Below are 13,195 nucleotides of genomic sequence, written 5' to 3' on the forward strand. Positions count from 1 at the left end.
ACAGATACTACTAGAGTAAACCAAGACTGGACCAAGGCATGGTTCTGTCTGAAGGATGGAAAGGCAAGTCAGTAAAGCGACATAGAACATCCTGGGATGAACACATATACAGACGTAAAATAGGATGAAGGTGCTTCTAAGCAGTGGGGAAAATATTTATAGTCAATGGCACTAGCTGTTTGGGAAATAGTAAAGTAAGAGCATTACAATAAAACTGAATTAAAGAGTTAAATACATGACATAGAACTGTCAGATAACTAGAAAATGACTTAGAAACCTACATATGTTATCTTGGATGCAATGAGGACTTGTTTTAGAAAAAAATAAAATCAGAAAACTACGAAGAAAAACAATTGATGGATTTAGTACCTAAATATATATATATATATATTTTTGAGACAGAATCTCATTCTGTTGCCCAGGCTAGAGTGCAGCAACACGATCTCAGCTCACTGCGACCTCCGTCTCCTGGGTTCAAGAAATTCTCATGCCTCAGCCTCCTGAGTAGCTGGGATTACAGGTGTGTGCCACCACACCCCACTAATTTTTGTATTTTTAGTAGAGACTGAGGTTTTGCCATGTTGACCCGACCGGTCTTGTACTCCTGACCTCAAGTGATCCACCTGCCTCAGCCTCCCAAAGTACTGGGATTACAGGCATAAGCCACTGCCCGACCTCCTAAATATAATATTTGCATACCAAATAGCACCATCAAAAGACAATCATTAATATATTTGCAACATAATATCAAGCTTTTAATCAACATGAAAATGTGATCAGCATGATAGAAAAATGTCCAAGGATACAACCAGATAATTGATAATAAAAGAAACACAAACAGTTATATATATATTTAAGTGACCTCATTAATGATCAAAGAAATGTAAGTTAAAATAATAAGTGAATATTTTAAATGTGATCATCTAAAGTTTGGGCAAAGGTATGAGGAAATAGGCACCTTTGTCTGTACCTGGTATAAATGTATGTTAGTATACCCAATCTAGAGATTTATTTGACAACATTCTGATTTTTATTGCCTTCAGGACACCTAGAACCATCTGATGTCATTTTTGTTGGTGTGTTTCCTTGCTGATAATTTACACCATTTCATTGATGAGTCAGCCCCACCAGGGCGGAGCCCAGGCTCTCTTGTCACCCTGTTCTTTCTATGTACTTTTTGGGTTTATTTGACTATTCTTCAGCCTAAAATATTGTTTATACAAACAATCAAGATTTACTTGATTTATGTATTTAGAATATAGATATTTAAATTTTATGTGTCTATTTAGAATTAGGTATTTAGAATTTATATGTTTAGATTTATGTCTTTATAATTTGTCTATTTTTATGTATTTAGAATATATTTACATATTATTTATGTGTGTATCTAGAAATACAATTCTCAAAACTGGCCAATACTGTACCCTCACAAGAAATTTAACACCTGGAAAATTGGTTTTAATGAATTGATCAGACATGTGTGCAAAGATTCTTAACGCAGTATAATGCATAATAGCAAAATTTGAAAAGAAATCTAATTATTTAGCAAAAACCAATTGGATAAATGTCTACAATTCCATAAAACCACCAAGATAATATAGGTCAATATTTAATTACATAGAGTAAATTATTATATTAAATTATTAGGTGATAAAGTAGAGTTCTGTATAAAGAGTGATCCTAATTCTGTAAAACAGCAATGGCAAAACAAAACAAAACAAAAACACCTATGTTCCATAATGCATGCATGTCTATTAACTATGTAATAAGATATAAAACTCAAGATTTTTTTTAAAAAACAAGACAGCTATCATGAGAGCCTCATCCGCTCTCTAGTTTTTTGAATGTGGCCTTCACACATCTGCCACGCTACCTCCTGGGGTCCAGTGGTGGAAGAAGCCTGACCATTTGTACCTTCCCATTTTCCATTTCCATCTCCTTCCTGACTTTTCCAACTGGCCGTTGTGCTCCTTGTCATTATTATTCGTGATGACTACCCCAGCCAAGCTTCCAAATAGAGTCCATGTAATGAGCAGGTCACAGCAGCCAACAAAGAGGCTCTCCTGGAGAAAGCAGCTCAGAGGAGTCTGGCTGAACGGACAGTGGCTAAAAGCATTCCTGCATAATTCGCTGTCTCAAGAGTTTTTCAGCCAGATACTTGAAATGGGCATTTCAAAATGTTTTTTTATCAAATAAACTTTATTCTTAAAATATGTCATTCTCTTTGCAGTTTCTCCAAGTGGTTCTGTTGCTATTTCAACATCCCATAGAAAATCCTTTTCCAAATAAATTGGGAAGTCTCAACTTTCAAGTATAACTTTTTCCTATTGCTACTAGGGGAGCTAGGTACTTGCCTTACAGTAATTTCCATCAGTCCTTCATGCATTTAATATTTATTTATTTCAGCAAAAATTTCCATGAAATACTCTCCAGTGAAGTGTGTGACTGCATATTAATTTATCCTTTAGGAGCAGCAGTGGCATTCGTGCGTAGCTGCAGACATGTCAAGATGCTTGGAGTTACTGGGTGACACTCAAAGATGGAATACTCCAATTGTGGGGGCACGGATAACACCCACTGGAGTATTTGGTGTGTCCATCAAGAATCTCAACAAAAGGACTCTTCCAGAGACATCTCCAAGAGTTAGAGTAAGAGAAACATGGAAATGAATGTTGTGAATGTGAAAGGAAAATTTCTCATAAGATCAGAGAAATAATAATTCTATGAGAAAGAATATTAAGGTGAATATGAACCTCCAAATTTTTTACCGCAGCCTCCATGACCCTTATGACCTGACCCTATCTCTAATTAATCTTCTTTTTCACCCACATTGCCCCAGGTACTCTTGCCCTACTCTGGAGCCCTCAACTCTGCACCTCAGAGCCTTTATTTTTTTCCCATAGACCTCCTCTCCCAAATAGCTCTGGGATTGCATGTTCTCTGCTTATCACTCTGTTCCAAAGAAACTGACTTCCGAGGTGTTCCTGGTGACCCTATCTACAGTAGCCCCCACCCCTTCACCTCCCTACAACCACCATTAACTACAGCCGCCCTTTGTCTCATTGCCTTTGCATTCTCCTTGGCACACTCATCACCATTGTCTATTGGTATGTTTCCTTATTGATCATGTCCTTTCAATAAATTGTAAGTTCCAGTTATAGCAGGGACCTAGCTGTTTTGCTCCCTCATTCTGTCCCCAGTGCTTGCAACGGTGCCTGGGACAGTGTGGACCTTTCTATCTGGAATAAATAAATCAATAAACTCTATCTCATACCCAATACTACTGAAGCATGCAGTGATGCAATATTTATACCATGCATCAAAAAATAACTGTAGAAATTTCTATATTGTAATTTTCAAACAGTTCTTTATCACAGACTTTGTCACCTTCTGCCGTTAATGTGTATTTCCTAACAATTTCTTTTCTTTACCTTCTTTCTAGCTCTCTTTTTCCTTCCAACAAACATTTATTGAATGCTGGTCTCATATTAAGCCTGAAGATGCAGAGATAAACATGAAATAATTTCTACCTTTTGGTGTTAATAACTTAGTGGAAGACTGATTTTAAAATTCAATAGGTAAATTAAAAATAAATAAGTAACTACAATAGGAGCAGAGTGATAGAAAAAAATGGGGCCTAGAATTGCACATACACACACACACATACACTCACCTGTCACTTATACAGAAATTGTTTAAGTAGGCTGCAAGGGCTCTGCCTTTTACCTTGTTTTTGCCAGGTCAGCATAGAGTAACTTCAGCAGTCTGGTGGGTGGAGTTCAAGTTGTTCTCTTGGTCTTAAGTGATGCAGAGCTTTCTGTAGGTATAAAGACAACTTCAGAATCTCTAGGCAGACTGCATTTCTTGAAGGAATGTTCAGAGAGTAAATGCAAAAGTCTGCTCAGGACAGTGGGTGGCTCAAGGGTAGACGCATTCTTTAAGAAAAGTCTGTGGAAGACAGATTTTATTAATACTTTTGACTTAATTAACACGTTCTACCACTGCTTTGTCATTATGTAGAATTAAGAAATCAGCTTGGCCAGCTCTTCCCTTTTGTTAGCCTTGAATAGTTGCTCTTTATCTGAAATCCTATTTGGGAATAGCAAAAGACGAGAACAAATTGAGTCACCGTGAATTCCATATTTCTACAACAATCCCCCACTCTGTTGAATAGATGTTTCCAGAAAGCACTGAATAGAGGAAAAATGGAATATGTTACAGGAATTTCTTTCCTCCAAGATTTTCAATTATCTTCCTCAACTTTGTGGAATAAAGTGGAGTACAAAAATATAGAAGTGTATGGCAAGGAATGTCAGTAGGTCATTTTGGCAGAATATAAGTAAATATACAGGTGGTGTAACTGCAAAACCACAAGGATTTTATTAGCAATGTGATTTTGGGAAAATGCAGATGTTGTTTAATGATCAGTTTCCTCATCTGTAAAGTAAGAATAACAAATAACTGCCTCAAGGGGGTAGGCAAGAATTAAATGAGAGAATGGTTGTAAAAAGTACCATTTTCTTGTTGCTGTTGTTGTTGTTTACAGAAGATCAAATATAACTTGGAAAATGTAGTCCCAAGGGAACTTTATCTCCACCCCTCACATTTTACTTGAGTGGTTCTATCATAGGGGATGCCATTCTCTTCTCTACAAGTGGTGTTTCTAGCTTTAAAAACCAAAAATTGAATTTAGAAAAATTTCATCTGCCCATTGTTGTCTTTCATTTATATGTAACTATTGACATGCAAACTGTACTTTAAAAAATTTCAATTGACCCATGATTTTGGAGAAAATTGTTTACAGAATTTATATTGTAAATGGTTTTGAGAGTATAAAAGCCATTTGAAGACAGAGACTTTAATGATGAGGTGCCACATTTTTTCTTGAAATACCTGAAGTTGACCTCCAACCTCTCTCACTGGAGAATAGACCCAGTGGTGTTGTTCTTGGGAGATGGGTCTTATTCAGTATCAGCAAACCATTTGACATCATCTCTCGGATGCACTAATTATCATAGGATTGTGGCTCTCTTTTGTTAGCTTTGGATTTTTTATTTTACCAGAAGTGTGATAAAAATCAACTACCTTTTCTTCCTCCTAAATCAGTCACTTGATCTTTACAGGCATTAACCTGTGTTCTTCACAGAAACTGATTTGTTTTGTGTTCACTTCAGTGTCTCCCACTCAGCGGTGTTGACAAATGTGTATGTTTTGTTTTGTTTAAGGATGTGAATTACTCATTCTAGACACAGCACACTGTTTTATTGTGTGTTTTTCTAAAACATACTTTTAGACAATGAAGCCCTTGTATACGCCTCACCGCACACACACGCACATACACACAACTAGTATCTATGCATCTTTGTAACTTTATCCCTATAAATATGACTCACTGGCTTGCTGAAGCAGAGAAGATAAGTTTAAATCAGGTAAATGCTGACAATCTAAGAATGATGAAGGGAAGATAAATTAATTGTTTGCTCAAGGAACTGACTGTTAAACTTTTTGCTTTCAAATTTGCATAGAGTGGAGCCTAGAAGCTTCCTGAATGTCTTCCTGCTGCACTTTTCACCTCCATTTCTATCCCTGCTAGCAAAAGAAGAGCCTAATGGTGACATCCCATACCTAGGGGAGCTTTTGAGGTCACAGGTAATTATGGGGGGGGGGATTATTAGTGAATCTGTCTTATAGGAAATATTAAAATTAAATTTTTTAAAACCATTATATCCTAATAAAAGAAGTTGGCAACTTGCTTTCTGGAAAAGTCAGTGGCAGTGGAAAGACAATAACCATGTGAGAAAGTAAGACAGGTATCTTGGGTAGGGCATGCCCAAGGGAGTAAGGTCAATGTCACCTATTTAACTGTGGCCAGTGGACAGGTTTGTTGAAGTTGAGCCTGCTTGTGGTGTTTTCCATTACACAGCACAGAAAATGGACTTAAACCAACAATCTTGGAGCATCACAGTGGCCTGAGCACATAAACTATACTTAGTTTCTGTGCTTACAATTTGTGTTAAGAGTTTTAAATATTAAGGCACATGCCAACAGAAACATTAATTTACAATGTTTTCAACAGAGAAAAGCAGTGACAGAGAAACCTACCTATTTTCCACTATGATGATTCTTATGCAAATTAAATATTTGATTGGTACCTTTTATTATTGTCTGGGTGAGCGGCAATTATTTTGCAGAGACTGTATTTCTAGATTCTTGTGTCTTCTGAGAGTTCGTTGTGAGCAATTTTCACTGGGCAATAGGTGTGTGTGCAGAAATAGTGAGAAAAAGTATTCCCATAAAGATTAAAGATGGAGCCGGGCACGGTGGCTGATGCCTGTAATCCCAGCACTTTGGAAGGCTGAGGCGGGCGGATCTCCTGATGTCAGGAGTTCAATACCAGTCTGGCTAACATGGCAAAACCCCATCTCTACTAAAAAATACATAAATTGGCTGGGCCTGGTGACAGATGCCTGTAATCTCAGCTACTCAGGAGGCTGAGGGAGGAGAATCTCTTGAATCTGAGAGGTGGAGGTTGCAGTGAGTTGAGATCCTGCCACTGTACTCCAGCCTGAGAGACAGAGCAAGACTCCATCTCAAAAAAAAAAAAAAAGATTAAAGATGAAAAAAATTAAGATTCCTTCTGTGGTGATTGTTGACAGTAATCTATGTTATGAAATATCTTTGGGGCCATTTCCAAAAACCTATATGATGCTTTTAAAGGAGAAGATATTATTTTCTTCCCTATATAGCTTTACTTCAATTCTTGAACTCTTCTTGTCATTTATGGATGATTGGCAATGTATCTAATTCAAAGCAAGTTTGAGAAAAGGAGACAGGTATTACAATTAGTTAGTGGTGGAGATAAAGTAGAGGGGAATTAGGAAAATGAGGATCAGTTAAATTTTTTTAGTAATGTGACTGAAGAATTGTGATTTTACAGAAAATGTGTAACTATGAATTGCCATAAGATGGTCAGGGGCTAAGACAGTAAGTGTCTTATTTCAGATATTACTGCCTCATGTCTTACCCTTTCAATAAAGTGAGAATACGTAGGTTGACAATAATGTGATATCATATAATAATAATTGAAATGTATTATCTTACCCGAATTGTTATTTTTATTTTTTATTTTATTTATTTATTTATTTATTTTTTGAGACAGAGTCTCGCCCTATCACCCAGGCTGGAGTGCAGTGGCAAAATCTCAGCTCACTGCAACCTCTTCCCTTGGATTCAAGCAATTCTCCTGCCTCAGCCTGCCGAGTAGCTGGGATTACAGGCGCCTGCCACCACACCCAGCTAATTTTTGTATTTTTAGTAGAGATGGGGTTTCACCATGTTGGCCAGGCTGGTCTCAAACTCCTGACCTCAGGTGATCTGCCCGCCTCGGCCTCCCAAAGTGCTGGGATTACAGGCGTGAGCCACCATGCCCAGCCCTGAATTGTTATTTTAAGTAATGTTTTGGATTCTTTATATTTTTTTCCACTTTATATTTTACCAAGTATTTTTGTCAAAGCCTATATTTCCTTACCTCTAAAATGTTTTTTCTTCACATTTTTACTTTTCTAAACTTAGAGTGCCCCATACAAAGACTGTAAAATGAAGCTTCCTACCCTCCAGAGGAAGGAGAGGGTAGGAACACAGTAGCACTGTGAGGTCATGTTCAAAACTGTCCGGAGAGACGCACGGTCTCATCAACTGATTGTAATCTTGGTTGGGTTAGTTGTGCTAGTAGAACATGTTAACTTCTAATACATACTTTTATTACTCATCATCATTTGAAATATTGTCCAAGACACTGTATTGTGATGAAAAGCAAGGTGATGTACCTTCAGGTCATACATTGACTCTGCGACTAGACTGCTTGGGTTCACCCCTCACTAGGCCCATGGCAGGGGCCATCCATTTACTCTCTTGAAAATGATCAAAGAGAACACCTACTTCACTGGGTTACTGTAAAGAAGATGATGAGTTCATCTCTGTAAAGCGTTTTTCACATTGTGTGGCACTCCATTCACTCATTTGTTCAACACGTATCTGTGGAGTCCCAACTATGAGCCAGGGATGGGTCTGCCAGCTAGATATATAGAGATGGATTAGGTAGCTGAGATATGTTTGGAGGTCACATTTTAGTGTCTACAAAAACCCTTTTGCCTGATGATGGCAAGTGCTGTGAAACCTGGATTCTGGGTACCCGGAAGGAAGCTGCTCTCATTGGGGCATCAGAGAAGAATTCTTAGAGGAGGTGACATTGAGCTGAGACTTCAGTTGCATGAAGGAGCTATCCATCAACAGTTGTGGGGAGAGGGGCTTTACAGGCAGCCACAGGACCCACGGAGCCCTAAGGATCACAATAGAAAGTGAGGTCACAGTCTGAGCAGAGCCCAAACACTGGACCAGGTTATGCAGTTTGGATCTTGTTCTGAGTTCAGAGTGAATTTATCAAAGGGATTGCAGCAAGAGAGTGATTTATATTTAAATTACCATTTTGAATAATGTGTGGGGAGCAGGGACAGCACAGGGTGGGAGGTCATTGAGGAGACTAGTAAGGTAAATACAAAGAGAAATGATGGTGGCTTGGGCCAGGGCTGTAGCAGTAGAGATGGAAAGAAGCAGATGACCATAGAAACTGGTGCATGTTTGAGTAACTAAAGGATGTTCAGCATGGCTAGGCCCATGGAAGGATGTCTTGGTCTGTTGGGGCGGCTATAACAAAATACCATAAACTAAAGAGCTTCTAAATAACAGAAGTTCATTTTTCGTGGTTCTGGAGGCTGGAAAGTCCAAGATCAAGGCACAAGCAGATTCAGTATCCAGTGAAGTCTCCCTTCCTGGTTCATAGAGCAACTTCTCTGTGTCCTCACATGGTAGAAGGATTGAAAGATCTTGCTGGGACTCTTTTATACAGCACTAAACCCATTCATGAGGACTCCTCCCTCATGACCTAATCAGCCCCCAAAGTCCCCATCGCTAAATCCCCTCACAATAAGTATTAGGTTTCAACATATGAATTTGGAGGGACACAAATGCTCAGACCGTAACAAAGAGGTAACCTATAGATGGGGATAATCACATTGTTGGAGCCCCATGAGCTATGTCTTATTTACACCCAAGTCTTGCATGGAAGACATTTTGCTATGCTGTTCAAAGAACCAAATCATAACATCCGGCACTTGCTCAAAGCCAATAAGGAACACGGAAAATATTTGTTCATTTGTATGTATCTGAATAGGAAACTTAATGTGGGGAATTAGTTTCCTAGGAGGTGGGAGAGGATGAGAAGCCACCCAGGGAGGATGAGATCAGTAGCAGCAGGAAGCCACCTAAAAGGGAAAAAGCACAGTGACTAGAGGTCAAGGCCAGAGTCCTTGGGAAGATCCTGGAGCCTTCATGGGCCCATCCCGTAGGAGCTAGAGAAGGGGCATGCATCTTCTGCCAGACCTGGCCTCCAAAGCAGGAACAGAAGGATACGGCCCTCAGCATCTCCCTGCCCCATTCTCTCTCAACTCTCAGCAGATCCTCCCTGGCCAAATCCAGTGGGAAGCTCTCTGGGAAACCACAGCTGTTGGGGGCCATGGGGCCAGAAACCTGCTGCCTTATGGAGCTCAGCAGGAGGATCTGAAGGCAAGCAGCAACATGCCAGCAGGGCATGGGTGGGTGGATGGGGGACTGGTGGAGTTTGGAGGACTGGGGAGCTATGACAATGTGAAGAGAGACCCAGAAATGGTAGGTGGTCAGAGGTAAGCTTGGAAAGATAAATAGGGAGTAGCTATGCAGGACCTCATGGGCATTTATGCAGTCTGGAATACATCATCAGATTAATCAAGAATCCCTGAAAGATTCCAAGTGAGTGAATGACTAATCAGGTGTATGATTTAGAAAAATTACAAAAATTTCAGTTAGACAGGAGGAATAAGCTCAGGAGATCATCCATGGAACATCATGGTGACAGGGGTCAATAAACAATATATTGTACGTTTGAAAATTGCTAAGAAAGCAGATTTTAAGTGTTCTCATCAACAAAAAGTCATAAGTATGTGAGGTAACGCTCATTAGCTAGATTTATTATAGCATTCCACAGTGTTGATATGTATCAAAACATCATGTACACTACAAATATATACAATTTTTATTTGTCAATTAATAAAAAGGAAAAAAGAAAAATAACTGGCTACAGTGAGGAGAATGACTTCAAGCTGTACAATCCTGGAAGTAAGATCTCAGAACGTTTCTGTAGGTTGTTATGCTGTCTGTAATTACTTGAAAATACTTATGTTCTGACCTTTTGCATGAGCTATATGTGTCTGTTAATCTATGAGTGTGGTTAGCCTGATGGTTGGAATACCCTAACCAGGAATGCACACTCACACTTATGGTGGCAGGGTGAGGCTATTAGTTAACATTTGAGAGACACCAACCAGCTCCTGCAAACTCTTCCACTATGACTATCTGATCTGCCCTGGAGGAGTTAGTAATTCACATAGGGGAATGTTGGAAATACATTTTCATTCTTGAATTGAGTTGTATTCCAAATAGATGGGCTGATTAGAAATGTCTGCTTTCTTGAGAGGTGCAAACCTCAGCAATATCAGCCTTGCAACTCTTGAGCGAAGGGTCCCTCTGATGTGAACCCGTGTTCCTACCATTCCTTACGGATTTTCTCTCATCTGATAGGACAAGGTTCTGCCACTAGAATTCTGTCAGATTTGTCTCTGGAAACTGTTTCATCAGGGCAAATTTAGGTGACCCTGGGGACAGAGGCCGGTGGCTCCACCAACCCCACAGGCAGGTGGACTGGCTGTTCCTGTTTGCTAACACATGTTCGTGTGTGAGGCAGCATTCAGGATGAGACTTGCTTTCAGTTACGTATCTTTGAGTGAGATTATGCTTTTCTTTACCTGTAGCCACTGTGAAAGAAAAAATGCACTGGACAATTAGGGAGATTATTTTATTTGGGCTATTGCAATATAGAGAATGTTCACTAAGGAAAGACTTCTCAACAAAAGGAAGAGGACCTAGGATTTTATAAAGGCAAGGATACAGGGAGTCATCCACTTTGGGAGCCTTGAAGGAGGATGAAGACCAGGCTTACTCTGAAATATGTTGGCTAAGGTGGTCCTTCAAGATTTCCTAGAACACAAGACAGTGGGTGGATTTTGGGAAACAAAAGTCTGAGGGGATTTCTTAACCATCTCTGTTCTCTGGGAGCACAGGACTCAAGTAACATTTAACACTGGCTACTGTTGTTAAAGTGAAGATGAAATGCCGGTCACATTGGCCATGGTCATTTTGCAACGTAAGGAGAGATGATCTTGGCCTATAGGAAGGATAAAGCCATGAAAACGAGAGAAGTGTATGGAATGGAATTGAAGAATATTAGGCAATAGACCAGGGGGATGTGGACATTGATGGGGGTGCCTTAGAGGTCTCCATCCTATGCACTGTCTCTCCCCACCTGGCAGTGTGCATCTATTTCTGGGCTGCTGAGAGAGGTGGAAATCCACCTGCTTTCCTTACATAAAAGTGAAAACTCATTACTCCATAAAACATACAATTCCTGCAGAACAAGTCTGTGTGATAAGACTTGAAAACACAAACAGTTCAGCCTGAAGGCCTGACAGGGGAATTACAGGCTCAGACTCATTAGCTAATTATAATACTCACATAGACTGTTACTTAAAAAAAAAAAGTATCGCCTGTTGAATGAGATTCTTGAGATCATTAGCATCTAATTTTCTGAATGATAATACAGTGTGCTGGAGGTTTTTGGCTGTGTCTACAATCAGCAATTTGTGGTGCAGTGGGAAAGCAACTTCAGGGCAGAGAAAAAGTGTCAGGGCTGAGGGTCAGACTTTGGTTTTAGTATCCATTGTGACTGACCAGCTTCATAAACTTATACAAGAGATTTAGCCTTCTGGGTTTCAGTTTTATTGTCTCAGAACCAGAGATTTTCAATTATCAGATTTATAGTCCTAAGAATCCACATTGTTCTGGTCCAGTCTCTATATATTTTTTAAAAAGGAGCTGAAAAAATCCAGCTTTGAAATTTGAAGCAATTTATGCAGATCTACTGGTGAGGGCTGTATTAGTGTGAGCATATATGTCCATATATATTTTGGCAAAAGTTAATTACGGAAAACACATGAGTGTCAGGGAGTGAAGGGGAACACGAGAGACTGGACATTGCTCATCAATCATTGTGCTCTGAATTATATGCTTTTACTGCCTGTCCTGACCCTCCCCTTCAATGGGAGAATTCCCCAAGCTTTCCTCCTCTCGATTTCCTGGAGCTTCAGCCAACACCTCCAGGTGGAGGATTCCAAACCTGGAATCCCCAGTCCTTTCCTGGCTTTATAGTTACTCGGCTACATCTGGGCTCCTGCTGGTGTCTCCATTCAATTTTTCACAAACGCAACTCACGGTCTTTCAAACCCTTTCTCCCTGCTACGTCCCTATTTGTGCGTGCTGCCCACAGGCCCGGAGCCATGCAATCTCACAGCCTGCTACTTCCTCACGTCTAGCAGTGAGGCCTCTGGTCCAATCCTGCCAGGTCTCTGTCATACACCACCTTCTCACTTCCATTAGAGTTCTCACTATCTTATTTGAAATCTGCATTACTGCTTTTCTGAGCAAAATCACAATAGTATGATGGTGGATTGTATGCATCAACTTGGCAGGCTATATTACCCAATTATTTTGTTAAATGTGAATCTAGGCGTTGCTCTGAAGGTATTTTGTAGATGCGGTCAACATCTTCAATCAGCTGACTTTAAGGAAAGGAGATTATCTTCAGTCATCTGGGTGGGGCTCATCCATCTATTCAACTATTCACCATCCAACTATCAGTTCAAAGTCCTTAGGAGCCAAACTGAGGTTTCCTTGAAGAAGAAGAAATTCTGCCTCAAGACTGCAGCCTCAGCTCCAGCCCGAAAGTTTCGAGCCTGCCAGCTCCCCTACAAATTTCAGGCTTGCCATACCCTACAATTGTGTAAGCCAATTCCTTGAAATAAATGTCTTTATATGTGTAATCTCTTATTATATATGTGGGTGGGTGCCTGTGTGTGCCTGTGTGTGCCTGTATATGTGTATTTTCTCTGGAGAACCCTGTCTGATTCCAGTAGTTTACCACTTGACTTCATCTAGTCTCTCCGACTTCACCACTGCTCTCCATCTCCTTCTGGCTGCTACAGGATTAACC

Source organism: Homo sapiens, chromosome 7 (assembly GCF_000001405.40).
Source record: "Homo sapiens chromosome 7, GRCh38.p14 Primary Assembly".
Taxonomy (NCBI): Eukaryota; Metazoa; Chordata; class Mammalia; order Primates; family Hominidae; genus Homo; species Homo sapiens.